The 16,222-nt window shown below is 36.8% G+C and overlaps 1 long non-coding RNA gene across 1 annotated transcript in view; it reads right to left on the bottom strand.

Moving 5' to 3' along the window:
• LINC01425 (long intergenic non-protein coding RNA 1425) overlaps positions 1-15,806 on the bottom strand; it is a 50,431-nt gene extending 34,625 nt beyond the window's left edge. The window contains exons 1-2 of the long non-coding RNA NR_109958.1: positions 15,748-15,806; positions 14,107-14,396 (exon numbers count right to left, since the gene is read on the bottom strand). This is a non-coding gene — a long non-coding RNA (long intergenic non-protein coding RNA 1425). The remainder of the gene's footprint in view (positions 1-14,106; positions 14,397-15,747) is intronic.
• Between the last annotated feature and the right edge of the window lie 416 nt (positions 15,807-16,222).

The raw sequence follows: 16,222 nt of genomic DNA, 5'->3' as shown, positions 1-16,222 counted from the left end.
TTTTCAGACTCTATTACCTTCACTCTTCACATTTAATTAATAGTCAGATCCACTTGATTATAAGTTTTAATATTTTTGTGTCAGATCTCTACCAGGCATCTATTAACTGGGTTAGGGATAGGGTTAGGGTTCGGGTTCGGGTTCGGTTAGAGTATGTATGATATATATACTTGGTGATGATATTTCATCACTGTCTCTAGAAATATTCCTAAAATGCAAATCCAACTATCTCTTGCTCTGCAGAAAGTCCTTTATGATTTTGTATTACCTTCAAAATCAAATCTAACCTTAGTAGAAAGGGGATAGATAGATAGATAGATAGATAGATAGATAGATAGATAGATAACCTCCATCATAAGGTTTCTGCTTCTACCACCAATGTCATCTTTTACTGTGTCCTATTTAGGACTTCCAGCTTTAGCTATTCTTAAATAATTGCAACCTCCAAAAATAAATGTTTCATAATCTATTCCTTTTTCCCCCCTTGAATGTCTCCTTCCACCATTGGACAACTGTTAACATTTAAAGACTCATTTCAAGGGTATTATTCTAGTAAATTCCATTTATAAAAAATTTTTTAAAAGATCACAGAAAGCACAATATATTAGTCGCTGATTGTATGATTCATTGCTGTGTGCTAAAAGAAAATCAGAAAACTTACTGACCTGAAAGAACAACAATTATTTTGTTTCTGTATCTATTCCTCGGGCAGGGCTTATGAAGGGTTTAGTAGGGAGCTTGCCTTTGATTCAAGAGGTCAGTTTAAAGCAATTGATCTCAGAACTGGAGAACATACTACCAAAATGGTTGACTCACATAGGTGGTGATTTGGTACTAGCTATCAGTTGGGATCTCAGCTATACTGTCAGTCAAAATTCATGCATACATCCTTTCCACGGAGTCTCACTGCTTTGCCTGTTTGAACATTCTCACAGCGTGGTGGCTCTTTTTCTACAGCAAACATCTCAAAAGATCACAGTGGATGATGATGGCATTTTTATGTAATATATTGAAGCAGTCACAAAAAGCCAGTGAGTTTCAAAGGGAGAGGGCAAAGACCCTATCACAGGATGCACTGTAGAAAGAACTTATGGAATGGAGATACTGTTGTGATCTTCACTGAAAAATGCAATACACCACAAAAATTTTGATTACATACCCCACACTCCAAAGTATATCACCCCACCCTTATAAATTCTGGCTCCCATTCTAAAGCAATCAATCGCTTGTTAGACAGAATGGATTTGACTGACTACTTAATCACACGGCAAATAATAACTTTCTCATTTGTTTCCTCATTTATGGCTGATATGAAATGGCATGGTGGGAAGAGGCTCAGCTTATTCCTGGTATAAATCACATACAGTGTAATGACCATCAGGCATGAAATATTTCAGCATTTTACCTTTATACAAAGAAAACTCATATTCTACGTTATTAAAAACTATTCCCATCCCTGTTTACTCAAATAACTATACCTGTTAAGATTCTCTTGCTTAGCAGAGTCCCAGTCAACTAACTCCAACTTACTTATAACAGTCCTCAACATATGTAATGTAACTCAGACACTAAAAGGGAGTAATGTGCTCTTCCAACTTCAGGGAAACATGATTGATAGTAGCTTCTCTATTCTAATACAACTAATCATCTTCCAGAAACGTCTATACTATACTATAGTTACATAGCCTGAATTCAAATTTTTATGAAACAAGAGGTGCTTAGGTATTATCCTCTTTCAAAGCCCATTCTGTAGACTGTAAGTACCCGTGAATTGAATTGAATGCTTTGGTGTGATCATGGAGGGGAAGTCTAGTTCATGTAGTATAAAGCTTAATCACTAAGGCAGATGGAGCAATAGCTGTGAAGTGGTGGGATGAAGCATGAATAGGCAGACTTTGCTACAGTGCATATGGAGGGCAGGAATAAAGGTTAACATACCCAGAATAACATAACAAAACTTGCATTTTCAATATCTGGTTTCTTATTACATTGCACCTCTTTTCCTTCAAGGTGCATGTGTGATTCATACTCTAAGCACTATGGGTAATACAAGGTAATCCTCCACTAATGCCATATGCCCTAATAAATGACAGCATAAAGAAACCAATTGGTTATATTATTTATTATGGTCTTTATGGCACTGGGAGATTATTGTAAACAGGGTTCATGTCAGGTCTTATATACAATAACATGAAACCACACTATATATGAGGAAAAGTCAGACAATTTCCAAACACTGAGTCAGGCACTTTCTACACAATGAATAATAAATGATACGTGCAGCAATTTGCTTTAGTATTTAGTTAACCAATTATTTAAATCTATCATATTCAATATATTATCAGGAGATATACGTGCTCTAACCTACTGTAGGATAGTATTTCAAGATTAGTACCTAATCAAGAACCAGACATGATACCTCTTACTTAGTGCATACTTCTGAATGGAGGACATGAATTCTCCCATATCGAGAAAGCACTAAGACACTAAAGTAGAAACTCAAAATATGAGTGACAAGTTTTGCAAATATTCTGTTTGATTCAGGTACATACTCCACTTTAAAGACATTAAGCAAATTAGAGGATTGTTTTAGTTCATATATGAAGATGGGCACAGAAGAGTAAGAGAAACAGGATGGGAGAAGCTTACCAAGACACAGTGATCTGGATAAGTTAGGAGCATTAATTTTGTGTAGCCAGGTACCGAGAGAGTACATACATAACAGCAAAAATACAAAGCCATAACAACAAATAACTTCCTGACAAAATCATGCACAAATCAGCACGTATTTTTTTAATTAAATAGGCTTCCCTAAGTGGAACAAAACAGAGCCATTGGATAAATATCATAACAACAGAGAAATGATCCACATTTTCATGTTTCATATAAATATTGGAATTCTGTCCCAAATCAGGATTTACACAATTGGGTGATGGATGTGAGACGGAAATCCTGACTCACAGCATAATAATTGTAAATACAGCATAAAAGATGCATTTCTACAGGAGAACATGAACAGCTTTAGCTTGTTGGTTATAGTTTTGCAGATCTAATAGTTAACAAGACAGCATTTCTACTGATGCATAGGTTCCACTGACAAGCTCCAGGATCATCTCATTCTAGTCATAATCATTGTCTGTCTTGAAGCCTGGTAGGGCATTGGTCATCTTCTTCTGTGGACATTTTCTCACTATGAAGTGACACATTATGTTATAGGGAATATAGCACATGTACCCTTGGCTGCCAGGTATGCATATGAGTGTGGCCATTCTACCAAAATTTTCTTTTCTGCAAAGCCTTGCAGAGGTGGAAATACTTGCCCTCCTACAGAGAGCTTGAGATTGAGCCATTAAACTTAATGTAGCAAAAAAGCAATGTTTGAGATCATTATATAGCTTGTTTTGGATTTACATATTCTTAATGCAAATTTGTGATAGTCAAAATTTCAACATAGAAATATCTATTCACCATAACAGTAAAGTTCCCATTTCAGTGCTTTCAGATATTGAAAAATATATATTTAAAGTTATGCACACATTCACATATACATGAATACATATATATGTAAAATCAAGCCAAGCAACCAAGCTGTACATATATTAAGGAAAATATCTAGTTCGAAATAAAATAATGTAAATATGACTATGAAAGGAAAAGAGTTATCTGTGTTGTTTGCTGTTGGAATTCCCCCGGATTACTAATCCTTGTTAAGTTTAAGTTTCTTTTTAATAAAATGTTGTATAATCTCATTTTTTTTTCCTAGCAGTTTGATGAATGTATTGTTTGGGACATTTAAAAAAAATATTTCTCAATTAATGCATTCTAGAAAAAACTGTTAGATATTGATCCAGAATACTTCAAGAATGGAGGTTCCAAAATATTTCAACATAACCAACATGACCTGTTTTTATGTTTCACTGTGGCAGACCTCCCCAAGAGGATCCCGAGTAATTCCCTCCTCATGGTATATCACACCTCTGTGTGTTCTCCCTGCCACCCCTGTCCCTTGGCTGGAGGTGGCAACTGTGACTTGTTTCTAACCATTAGCATATGGCAAACATGGCAACAGTAATGGCGTGTCATGCCTATGGTTTGCTTACATAATATGGCAAAGTTGATGGAACGCCTATGCCATGGTTCCCGTGGTTACATTATGTAAGACTTCATTCTAGCAGACTGAACGTGAAAATTCACCTTTGCTGGATTTGAAAGTATGCTTCCATTTGTGAGAGGATCTATAAAGTGGCTAATGTGGCAAATAAAAAAAATAAAAACTTCAGGCACTTAAAGGAGACAAGAGAGGCCTGCAGGCTATGGCCGTCAAGGAAATGGGAATCACAGTCCTACAAATCCAGGAAGATTGATCCTGCCAACAACCAGAGAGAGCTTGAAGGTGACTCTGATCCCAGCAGAGCCTCTGATGAGACTAAAGCCACGACCAATGCCTGGATTGCAGCCTGGTGAGGTCCAATTAAGCTATAGTTGGGTTTCCGACATACAGAAACTGAAATACAAAATGTGTGTTGTTTTAAGGCACTAAGTGTATGATAATTTGTTATGAAGCATAGAAATTAATACACTCATACATTAACGTGCCTATAGCCAAAGTAGAACATTTCAGTAAAGTTGAACCTTATGAAACCAGTCACGATGAAAAAAAGAAAACTTTCATCTTTACTATGCATTTCACATTTTATGGAGACATATTTAATGAGGAAATTATTTCATTTCTATATTTTGTGCCCTGGATCCATTAGAATTAGCATGAGACTAGACAAAGAAAAGGAGTTATTCTTCTCTCGTGATTTACAGCCCTAAATGTTGTCATTCTTGGCAGTACTATAAATCAGAAGTGTCTTTGTAAGTTACTAAAAAGTTACAATAGTAATTAAAAATTAGACTCAACCCTTAATATTTGGAATTGCTGAATGCGAATGTTCATGTTCTCTTTTTCACACACCGTGTGTGGGGAGTGCCATGGTCTGAACGTGTTCTCCAAAATTTATGTGTTGAAACTTAATTCCCACTGTGATGGTATTAAAAGATGGGGCTTTTGAGACATGTTTAAGTCAATGAGGGTGAAACTCTCATGAATGGGATTAAGGCCTATATAAAAGAGGCTTCAAACAGCATTCGGCTTTTTCTTTTTTTCTTTTTTTTTTTTTGCGTTCTAGGATTTTTGGGGGTTTTTTTGCCCTTCTGCCTTTGCCATGTGAGGACACTGTGTTTGTCCTTTTCAGAGGACACAACAGCAAGGTACTATCCCAGAAAGCTGAGAGCAGCCCTCACCAGACACCAGACCAGCTAGTGACTGGATCTTAGACTTTCCAGCCTTCAGAACTACAAGAAATAAATTTATAACATTTCTATATCCACTTATTTACATATTTACATTATCTGTTGCCCAGTCTCAGATATTTTGTTATAGCAGCACAAAGACAGAGAAAGAGCAAGAATTGAGTCTCTTTCTGCAAAGGAAATGGCCTTTTCAAGAACTGCAAAGGCAAATCTGGGTCTTTCACTGGTTAACAGCTACTACCTTAATGTCCTCTCATTCCTGTAAGAAAAATGTGGTCTGACATCCGAGGCTCTTCACAATACGACTCCACTTATGTTCCTAACATCCCGCCCTGCTTTCATGATATACCAAAATACTCAGTTATATAAACCGGCAATAGAATGTGATGCTATTTGATCTATGATCTGCCTATTTTGCCACTTCCTATTTTGTTCATTTGCAGTTTCTTCAGTTCCTTCAAATATGACTCCCCAAGGATGTGTTAGTTGCACTCCATTCATGCTGCAGCCCTGCCAGTGCATTCCCAGTCTTCTTAACACCAAGAATGTTGTACTGTGATTTTTTATATGCATTTACCTTTATAATTAACAACAATTGTCTTGAAGTCAGGGACAGTGTGTCATTCATATTTATATGACCAAATGCAGCAACTAGCATGCAGTAAAAACTGAAGAGATACATTTAGTGCATATACACACACATACACACACAGTGTAGTAAGCCCTTAATAGATAATTATTGAATCAATAGCTTGTAAGATAGTATTTGATTGTAAAAGGTTTTCACAAAAATAATGAGTTCTTCAGAGGAAGCTTTAATTCCATGATACTTTCTGAAAATGTGACAGTTAATTTTATCTGTCAGCTTCACTAGGCTATGATGCCCAGTTGTTTGGTCATACATCCTTCTAGATATTGCTGTGAAGATATTTGTGTGTGTTTTTAAAATTTTCAATCAGAGGAATTAAAGGAAAACCAGATTACCCTCCAAAAGGAGAGTGGGCCTCGTTCAATGTATTGAATGCATGAAAAGACAAGATGGAAGAATCTCAGAGAAGAAGTAATTTCTTCTCCAGACGGCAACATAGAAACCATGCCTGAGTTTCCAGCCTCTTGACTCATATGCAGACTATTTCAGATTTAAGATGGCAAAACCAACCTTTACCTGAATTTCCAGGTTGCTGGCTACAAATTTCAAATTTACTAGCCCCCACATTGCTAGAGTCAATTCTTAAAATATATTTCTAGATAGATGATGAGATAGATGATAAATTGATAGAGCTATTGGTTCTCTGGATTACCCTAACTCATACAGTGAGTAAGTTTTAATTGATGATGGCTTAATATTTACTCTGCCCTAAAAATGGTCCATCCAATAGGAGACGTAAAGAATGTCCTAATCCCATTATTTTGAACCTCAAATAAGATAAATCTTTTGGAATTTTAGAAAATTGCTTTTGACAATGAAATATCATATGTATAACATGTGTGTTAAAGATGTGTGTGGTGGCTCACGCCTGTAATCCCAGCACTTTGGGAGGCCGAGGCAGGCGGATAAAGAGGTCAGGGGATGGAGACCATCCTGGGTAACACGATGAAATCCCATCTTTACTAAAAACAAAAAAAAAATTAGCCAGGCGTGGTGACATGTGCTTGTCATCCCAGCTAGTCGGGAGGCTGAGGCAGAATTGCTTGAACCTAGGAGGCAGAGGTTGCAGTGAACCCAAATCGTGCCACTGCATTCCAGCCTGGGCAACAGAGGAGACTCCGCCTCAGAAACAAACAAAAAACAAAACAAAACAAACAAAAAAAAAAACCCACACAATTTTACTTTTAACCAACTTTCCTTATATACCTATGTTATTTATACTAAGCTCAATCTTGGTTTCAATGGATATTCAGATGACTTAAGGGTGCCATTATAAGATAAATGGCTTTTAAATAGGTATTTTATTGTCCTATGGGCTGAGACATTTTTTTTGACAGAATATCTATATAAAATGAAAGGAAAAAGGATCCCTGCTAGTGAGAGATATAGTTCCTATCAAAATACTCAGAGCAGTAGAGGAGGCTGTAGGCAGTGTAATGCAATCCCCTTTAAAAAGATGTCTCCATTCTAATCACTAGATCTTGTTGATATTAATATATTATCCAATACAGAAAAAAAAGGTTTTGTAAAAATAAGCAAAGGCCCTTGAGATATGGAAATTATCTTGAGTCTGATCTAATCACACTCATACACATACAGTCATACACACACACACACACACACACACTCTTTAAAAGTGGGAATCCTTTCCCATTTGTAATCAGAGGAAGAGTCGACAAATGCAAAGGCACTGGTTTTGAGGATGATGGAAGCTGGCCATGAGCTAAGGAATGCGAATGGTTTTTAGAAACCAGAAAAAGCAAGAAAATAGATTGTCCCTCAGAGTCTCCAGAACACAGTGCAGTAGGTACTGACACTTTGATTTTAGCCCAGTGAGGCCTATGTCAGACTTCTAACTCATTGAAATGCAAGATAATTCATTTGTATTGTTTTCTGCCAGCGAGTCGGTGGTAATTTATAACAGCAGCATTAGAAAACTGATACAGAGGTTTTCAAAGTAATTATGCTATGGAGACACGTCTATGAAGTTAAAAACGCACTGTTCAAATAAGGTCATCTAGCACATGCAAGTATTGGCTCACACCACTGATCGTTTCCACCAGCAGGCAATTGTGAGCACAGCTCACTTGGTTCAGTGGTGACCTTAGTACACAGCTAGAACTTCTAGATTGTTTCATTGAAGAAGACCTCAATTCAGGGCTGTAGCCAAGCTTTTTGAAGATGTGGGGCATTATTTAAGAAAGTTAGAAATTTTTGACTTCGTAATACCATCTTTTTCCCCAGCGTAGTTTGGGGTGCATTCTTGTCTTCAGTGTTTCTAAAGAGGAGCTTTTCAATGGCATTATCTCTAATAGGCACAGATGTACTATCCAAAGTTCAATGGCTGCATTGCCTGTCACGGTGAATTCCCATAGATGAATAAGTAGCATGTTGGGCTCCAAAAGAACAATATTGAGGACAGTCAGCCTTTCAAAATTATATCAATTATGCAAAAATAAGACAAATCTCTTGACTGATTATTGAATGAATGTCTAAATTATAATGAAGAAATGTTGCTGTAAGATGCTCTGCTCCCTGCATATAGGCAGATTAGTAAAGGAAAGGTAAAGCTAAAGTGAAGATAATTTATTTCCTATCACAGAGTTATTCTGAGGATAAAAAGGGATAAAGAAAAATATATTTGAAATTATATACATATGGAGAGGCAAGACTTTATTAAAAATCACAAAAGCTACTGAAGAAAAATAGAGATGAAAGAAAAATATAATGTACCTTTTGTATTGGTAATTTATAATTTTTAAAGTATTCTATAGCAGCAATAACTTTAAAACATTTCCTTCTCTAAATAAACTTTTGATTCAATCCTAAAAATATATAAAGAGTTTGAAAACAGCTAATTGGGACCATCCTCCATAAGCTAAATTAAGTTCCAACTTAATATTCATTGATGTTCCCTAAAGCCCAAATGCTTAGAGATTAGCACTGTCTAATAAAGACAAAATGTGAGATGCATATTTAATTTTAAATTTCTGGCAGCTGCATTTAAAGGGTAGAAAAGACAGAGATGAACTTAGTTTTAACAATATATTACATTTAATCTAATATATTCAAAATAGTGTTACTTCAATATGTAATCAATACAGTAAATATTATTAATGCATTTTATCCTTCTGTTTTACTATGTGTATAAAATCAAATGTGCAGACTATCTTTTTAACTATCTATATTGCAAAGACCTAATAACCACATGTAGTTAGTAGCTACCATATTAAAAAGAATAGCTGTAAATTTTATGCTTGTCCTGCATTTTGTTAAAAAAGACAGGTTTCATTCAATCCCAAGTTTTATTCAATTGATTTCTCAGAAAAAAACTTGATATACTCTCAGTCACTGACCATCAATCTGTAGTGGAGATATGGGCAGGTAGGAGCAATGACTTCCTTTCATAGCTTGGGCTAGAGCCATTCTAGTTGGTTTTTTATTTGTTATTTTAAATTTTTATGTAATTCTTTTTGGACAAACTTTTCTTGATAAAAAAATAGGCTTGAAAACAATGCTTTTGGGTAGTGATTACAAAATACAACCCACAAGCAGAAAGAAACCCATGGATATAGTATACTTTGGGCTTGTATATTTTATTGGAATTTTCTTTTTTACATAAACTGCTATGCTTATAGCTTCTTTCAAAAAATTAAATATTTCTTTAAACATTCCTTGCATGCCCGTTCCTCAGTCACTGACATATGTCAAAGTATCCTAGACTGATTTCTAACACATATTTGTATCACCTATTAAGTTTATAAGGGAAAATACAAAATTTGGGTTGTGCTCTAGCATCGGAGGTGACTTTCAAGACTAGACTCCAAATACATGAAATTAAAGTTTCCTATTAGTTTTTTTCTAAGTGCTTGAGCATTACCTACTTTCCTTTAATCTCAGAAACTGAAGCATACCTTCTCGAATTTGAGGTTTAGTATTTCGACCTGTGTTTTTCATTCTCTATTCTTCTATTGTCTCCAGGCAATTTGTTTTTCAGTTATCTCATTTCCTCTCCTATATCTTCCAACTCTTCCTCTCTCTGCATTCTTTACAAGTCTGATCCATATTACAGATCTGTTCTCTATTTATTAAATAGCACCATTATTATTTGAATCACTTGGGAATTACTAATGATTCCAAAGATTCTGAGTAGATTGAAAGTGGTGTGGCCTGTATATTAGTATGCTTTAAGTGCCCATATAATTCTAATATGCTGAAGTTTGAGAACCACTGGACTATATAATTTTCAGCTAGAACCTGATTCATTTTTTATTTAGTACCTATCAACACCAGTGAGAGACACTTTTAAGAATCCTGTCAATCTCATTTCTTAATCAGCTGTCAAATTCAGTCCTTGTTATGTATACATTACCACTTCCTTGTGTGGGAACTCATCTTTCCTTAGGACTAATTCGTTAGTAAAATTAATCATCCTGATCTTGATCTGCCTCTTGGACAGTAAACTCTTCAAACTTGTCAGACCATGCTGTATAAGTTACAAAGTGGATAATAATTTACACTCATTAAAAAACATTTGAAGGTTCACTATTGTGTACAGCATGAAGTTCAAATGCTTTAGTTAAATACATGACTATGTTAATCTGGTGCTTTCACATTCTTCACTATCTATAACATCATTCTCCCTCCATCCCACACTTTATCCTAAGCCCTTGTTCTATGTGATTAGTGATTAGTGCAAATCTTCTTGGTTTTCAGCATTTAGCTAAGACATCAAATTCTCTATCTAACTTTTCTATCTTACTCCCCACTGCATACTCCAATTCAAGTAGAAAATTTATACTTTGTTTTTATGCCATATATACATTTTTGCCTTTTTGCAAAACATGTATAAGCTTTGGTGCCTTATTTGCTTATAGATTTGCCTTCATTCTCCAGATTTTAAGGTTCTTAACAACAAGCACCATATATTTCATCTTTATATTATATTTATGTATACAGAAGTGGTCGTAACTGTGTGAATAGATATGATCAAATTAGATGATCACATGCCCTTATCCAAGTATAAATAGTGCCGACACTTCCTTCAATAAGACCACTTTACCTTCATGGGTTTTGTTCACGTATCTAAACCTATAACAGAGGTTCTCAAAGTGTGAGCCTTGGACAAGATGCAGCAGTGTCACCTGGGAACTTGCTAGAAATGTTCATTTGGGGCCTTCTTCCAGTCTTAATTAATCAGAAACCTGGGGGAAAAGCCCAGCAATCCACATTTCAAGAAGTTCTTCAGATACTGGTGACCTGCCAAAGTTCAAAAGCCACTGTAACAGTCAGGGAAAGAGCTAACATTTGCTGCCTGCCTAATTTTTCTCCTTCATATCATGCTGTCTACTAGGGGGCCTGGGAGAGCAAGCTCTCCATGGGAATTATAGCTCACACTCATCATCTGAATAACGTGAGGAAGTGGCTTAATTTTTTTGAACCTAAGGTTTCTCATTTATATAACAGGGTAAAATCTCACCTACCTCAAGAGTTGCTGAGAATATTAAATGAGTTACTCTATAGAAAATGCTTAGCACAGTTGATAGAGAAAGTGCTTCGCCTAATGGCTGTTCAAAATTTTTAGGTGTTTTTCTGCCACCTTTGGCACTATTGCTGCTATTTCTATAATTGCTATTACCCCTATTATCTACTATTACTACTATTACCATTACCAGATAATACAATTTTTATAGTAAATATTACGACTAACATAACCTACACTGCAAAAGAAGGGAAAATAAGAAATGCTTAGTAAATGAATAAAAAGGAAATTAGGTCATTTGAATAAAAACTATAGACACTGCAATGTCAGGTCATTTTAAAAAGTGGTAACTCAATATTTCACTGTCAAAGCCCAGTTAGAATATGGCAATAAGGTATACAACCCTTATGAGCCTATTGTTTTCTTTTGAAATTTGATATGCATTTCAACCCGAACTCACTCAAACTGGGGTGCTTACTTAGTACTGAGATGTTGTTGGAATCTCCTAGCCCTGAAGTAATCTGTTCATCTGAGTATCTTCCGAGATTTTATTGATCCCATTTGGTCTTCAGTCACTCATTCTTTCAGGTTGTCATTAAAGCATTCTCCTTTCCTGTCTACTGACTTCATTCAGATTCTGCTGCTCTTGCTGCTACTTTCAAGCCAATTGAAAGGCCAAGGGCATCATCCCTGGCTTCTTTCTCACCCTGGGACTTGGAAAACACTGTTATCTGTGACTCTTTTCTGCTTAATGCTAAAAATATCCATTCCCACATATGGGGAACGCAAAATAGCCTAAAGGCGTTGGCAAGGCAGGAAGTGAACTACAGAGAACATAAAAATGATATTAGTATTTATAATAAAAATCATTCAGTTTTATTTCTAAACATGGCATACTTTCTGTAATATTTCAAGGCTTGAATCATGTGTCCTTAAATTCACCTTTGGTTGGAAGTCACCTAACCCAGTTAGCTTTCCTTCACAAAACAAATTAAGTAACCATTCATCTGATAAGCTAATTCAATTCACCTGATCATGAAATACACCCAGTTCTGATATCTATCATGTGCTTGGCAACAATATTCAAAGTTTGTATGAACTGACAAAGACGTTCAGATCTTTACCCTGGAGAAAGATGAGGAGAAACATACAGTATTCACAATGCTAGTAATCAAATCTTAAGAAGCATAAAAGGAAAAACTTTAAGATCCTGCAAAGTGGAGAGAAGGAACATCAATAATGGTCCATGCATTAGTGGAGAAATAGGGATACAAATTTGGTTTTATCAAGAAGATGTGAGTTGAAATTGATAAATTTATTCCAAATGGGCTGAAATAGGTTCAAAATGTCATCAAGCTTAAATCTAAACTGTCAGGGAAAATTGATTCAAAAGACAATAATTGGTTTTGTGTCCCCACACAGTCACAAGATAAAACCACATGCACATGCACCCATGTACACAAGCTTTATTTTTGATATATGATTGTAATACATTTTGGTCCATAGATTTCTTTAATATGCAGATTTATTTATTGCACCCAATAATTCATACATTCATTTCTAATTTATCTTAATAATGGACTTGATATTTTCATTATCTATGTAAACGAAGTGGTAGTTTATCAGACTGAACAGGCTGACTTCATGATCCAAAGCTCAAATACCCAGTCCCAGTGTTGAATTAATTTACAAGGCTTGTTACTGACCCAGAGATAAAATAGAAAAACTACAGTCCCAGAATAAATGCTTAATAAATATTTATTTTAAACACAAATTAAAAATACTGAGGAAGGGAGAAAGGGAGAGAAGAAGGAAAAGTGGAAATTAAAGAAAGGAGGGAAGGGAAGGAAAGTAGAAGAAAGAGATGAAAGGAGAAGGAGAAAAAAGAAATGAAAAATAAAAATAATTTTCAGAAGCTCTGGTGATAAATATGCAAAGCCACTGGCTGCTGTTCTTACTATGAGCATTAGCTATTTCTTTCTTCAACTGATGCACAATTTCTACTGTAGTCATCAGTCAAATTTTTATAATATATAGAGAGAATCCCATTTCTTTCAGTAGGACTCATATTCTTCCATTCATTTAGGTTAATTCCAGAAGCTGTTTTTAAAACCTCACTTTACCTTGACACAAATTTCAGTAGCTTCTCAAGAACTGTGAACTCTCTTCTAAAGCATCTATATTGCTGGTAAATATCTGCTTCCAACACCACATTTAGACTGTTGTAATGACCACTTTAACGATTCCCAAGCATTAGACTCTCCCTGTAGACCTACCCAAAAAGCATAAATAAAACCCATCTCATTAACTTTTCTAAATTCCTGCTTGTTTGCCATCACTCCTTTTAACCGTCTTCAGTTTTCTACAATATCATATTCAAATGTGTACTCTCGCACTTTTCCAAATCTATGCCCCAACTACATTCCCAAACTTATTTTCCACTATTCCTAGGCATAAAAATCATTATCTCCTCCAAGGCTGACCTCTAAATATTCCTTTTATATTCCTACCTTGTCACCTCTTTTCTGAAGTTCTCAAATGGAATGCCCCCCCCACCCCGTATCCTTTCCCTCACCCTTACTTTATGACTTTTACTCCTAATCCCAAGCGTTATCAGTTCCCACTCTTTTTGCAAGCTTTCTCTAGCCAGCCCAGTCCACAGTGTCCCGTAGCTCACCTTTATGTGAATTGTATCTATGATCAGCCCATGTATTCAGCATATGCCATGAAGAATTCAGTACTTTTAGTTAACATTTTCTGGAGGACAGCAGTCCCCGTCTTATTATAAGTGAGATAGGCCAACACAGGATTTGGCCAAGAGGAAACACAAATCATGATTAAGAGCATGGGTAATGGTCAGGCGCGGTGGCTCACTCCTGTAATCCCAGCACTCTGAGAGGCTGAGGCGGGCGGGTCACGAGGTCAAAAGATCGAGACCATCCTGGCTAACACGGTGAAACCCCGTCTCTACTAAAAAATACAAAAAAATTAGCCAGGCGCGGTGGCGGGCGTCTGTAGTCCCAGTTACTTGGGAGGCTGAGACAGGAGAATGGCAGGAACCCGGGAGGCGGAGTTTGCAGTAAGCAGAGAGCGCGCCATTGCACTCTAGCCTGGGAGACAGGGCGAGACTCTATCTCACAAAAAAAAAAAAAAAAAAAAGAGTTTGAAAAGTGAGTAGATAATGACCCAGTGAAAGCAAGATATGTCTACATTTCAAAATGTTTTCAGAGAAAGAAAAGAAACAGATAAATTTAAGGATCTAAAGAAGAAAACTTTCAGGATAAGACAAACTAGAACATATTTAGAGGCAGGAATACAGGAAGTAATACAGAAATTTAAATTAATGAATTTCTATTAATTTAATAGAAATTTAAGCACAGAGGTAGAGGAGAAGATGCTGAATGGATTGTCTTCCCTGAGACATATGTGATGAGAGCAGAGATCCCCATCTTGATATGAGAGATCAGGAGTGAACTAGGATAAGGAAAGGTTTATTAGGAAATACAGGGTAGGGATCTAAAACATTTTAAGCTCAAGGACTTCAGCGAGGTAGGAGATAAATTCATCTTTTTAAAATAAGGAATGGAGGTGTATTAGTCCATTTCACACTGCTGATAAAGACATACCTGAGACTGGGAAGTAAAAGGGTTTTTTTGTCTGTTTGTTTGTTTGTTTGTTTTTGAGACCAGAGTCTCACTCTGTTGCCCAGACTGGAGTGCAGTGGCAAGATCTTGGCTCATTGCAACCTCCGCCTCCAGCGATTCTCCTGCCTCAGGCTCCCAGGTAGCTGGGATTACAGGCACGCACCAACACACCCAGCTAATATTTGTATTTGTATTTTATTTTTATTTATTTATTTATTTATTTACTTATTTTGAGATGGATTCTTGCTCTTGTCACCCAGGCTGGAGTGCAATGGCATGATCTCGGCTCACTGCAACCTCTGCCTCCTGGGTTCAAGCATTTCTCCTCCCTCAGCCTCCCGAGTAGCTGGGATTACAGACACACGCCTCCACGCCCAGCTAATTTTTGTATTTTTAGTAGAGACGGGGTTTCGCCATGTTGGCCAGGCTGGTCTCGACTCCTGACCTTGTGATCCGCCCACCTCGGCCTCCTAAAGTGCTGGGAATACAGGTGTGAGCCACCATACCCGGCCCATATTTGTATTTTAAGTAGAGATGGGTTTTCGCCATGTTGGCCAGGCTTGTCTTGAAACTGCTGACCTCAACTCATCTGCCCACCTCGGCCTCCCAAAGTGCTGGGATTACAGACATGAGCCACTGCACCCGGCCAGGAAAAGAGTTTTAATTGGACTTACAGTTCCACATGTCTGGGGAGGCCTCAGAATCATGGCAGGATATGAAAGGCACTTCTTACATGGTGGTGGCAAGAGAAAATGAGGAAGAAGTAAAAGTGGAAACCACTGATAAACCCATTAGATCTCGTGAGACTTATTCACTATCACGAGAATAGCACAGGGAAGACCAGCCCCCATGATTCAATTACTTACCCTGGGTCCCTCCCACAACACATGGTAATTCTGGGAGACACAATTCAATTTGAGATTTCAGTAGGGACACAGCCAAACCATATTGTTCCACCCAGGCCCCTCCAAATCTCATGTTCTCACATTTGAAAACCAATCATGCCATCCCAACAGTCCCGCAAAGTCTTAACTCATTTTAGCATAAACCCAAAAGTCCACAGTCCAGAGTTTCACCTGAGACAAGGCAAGTCCCTTCTGCTTATGAGCCTGTAAAATCAAAAGCAAGCTAGTTACCTCCTAGATACAA

Source organism: Homo sapiens, chromosome 21 (assembly GCF_000001405.40).
Source record: "Homo sapiens chromosome 21, GRCh38.p14 Primary Assembly".
Taxonomy (NCBI): Eukaryota; Metazoa; Chordata; class Mammalia; order Primates; family Hominidae; genus Homo; species Homo sapiens.
Note: the sequence above shows the minus strand (reverse complement) of the source record. Positions and strands in the feature narration are given on the sequence as shown.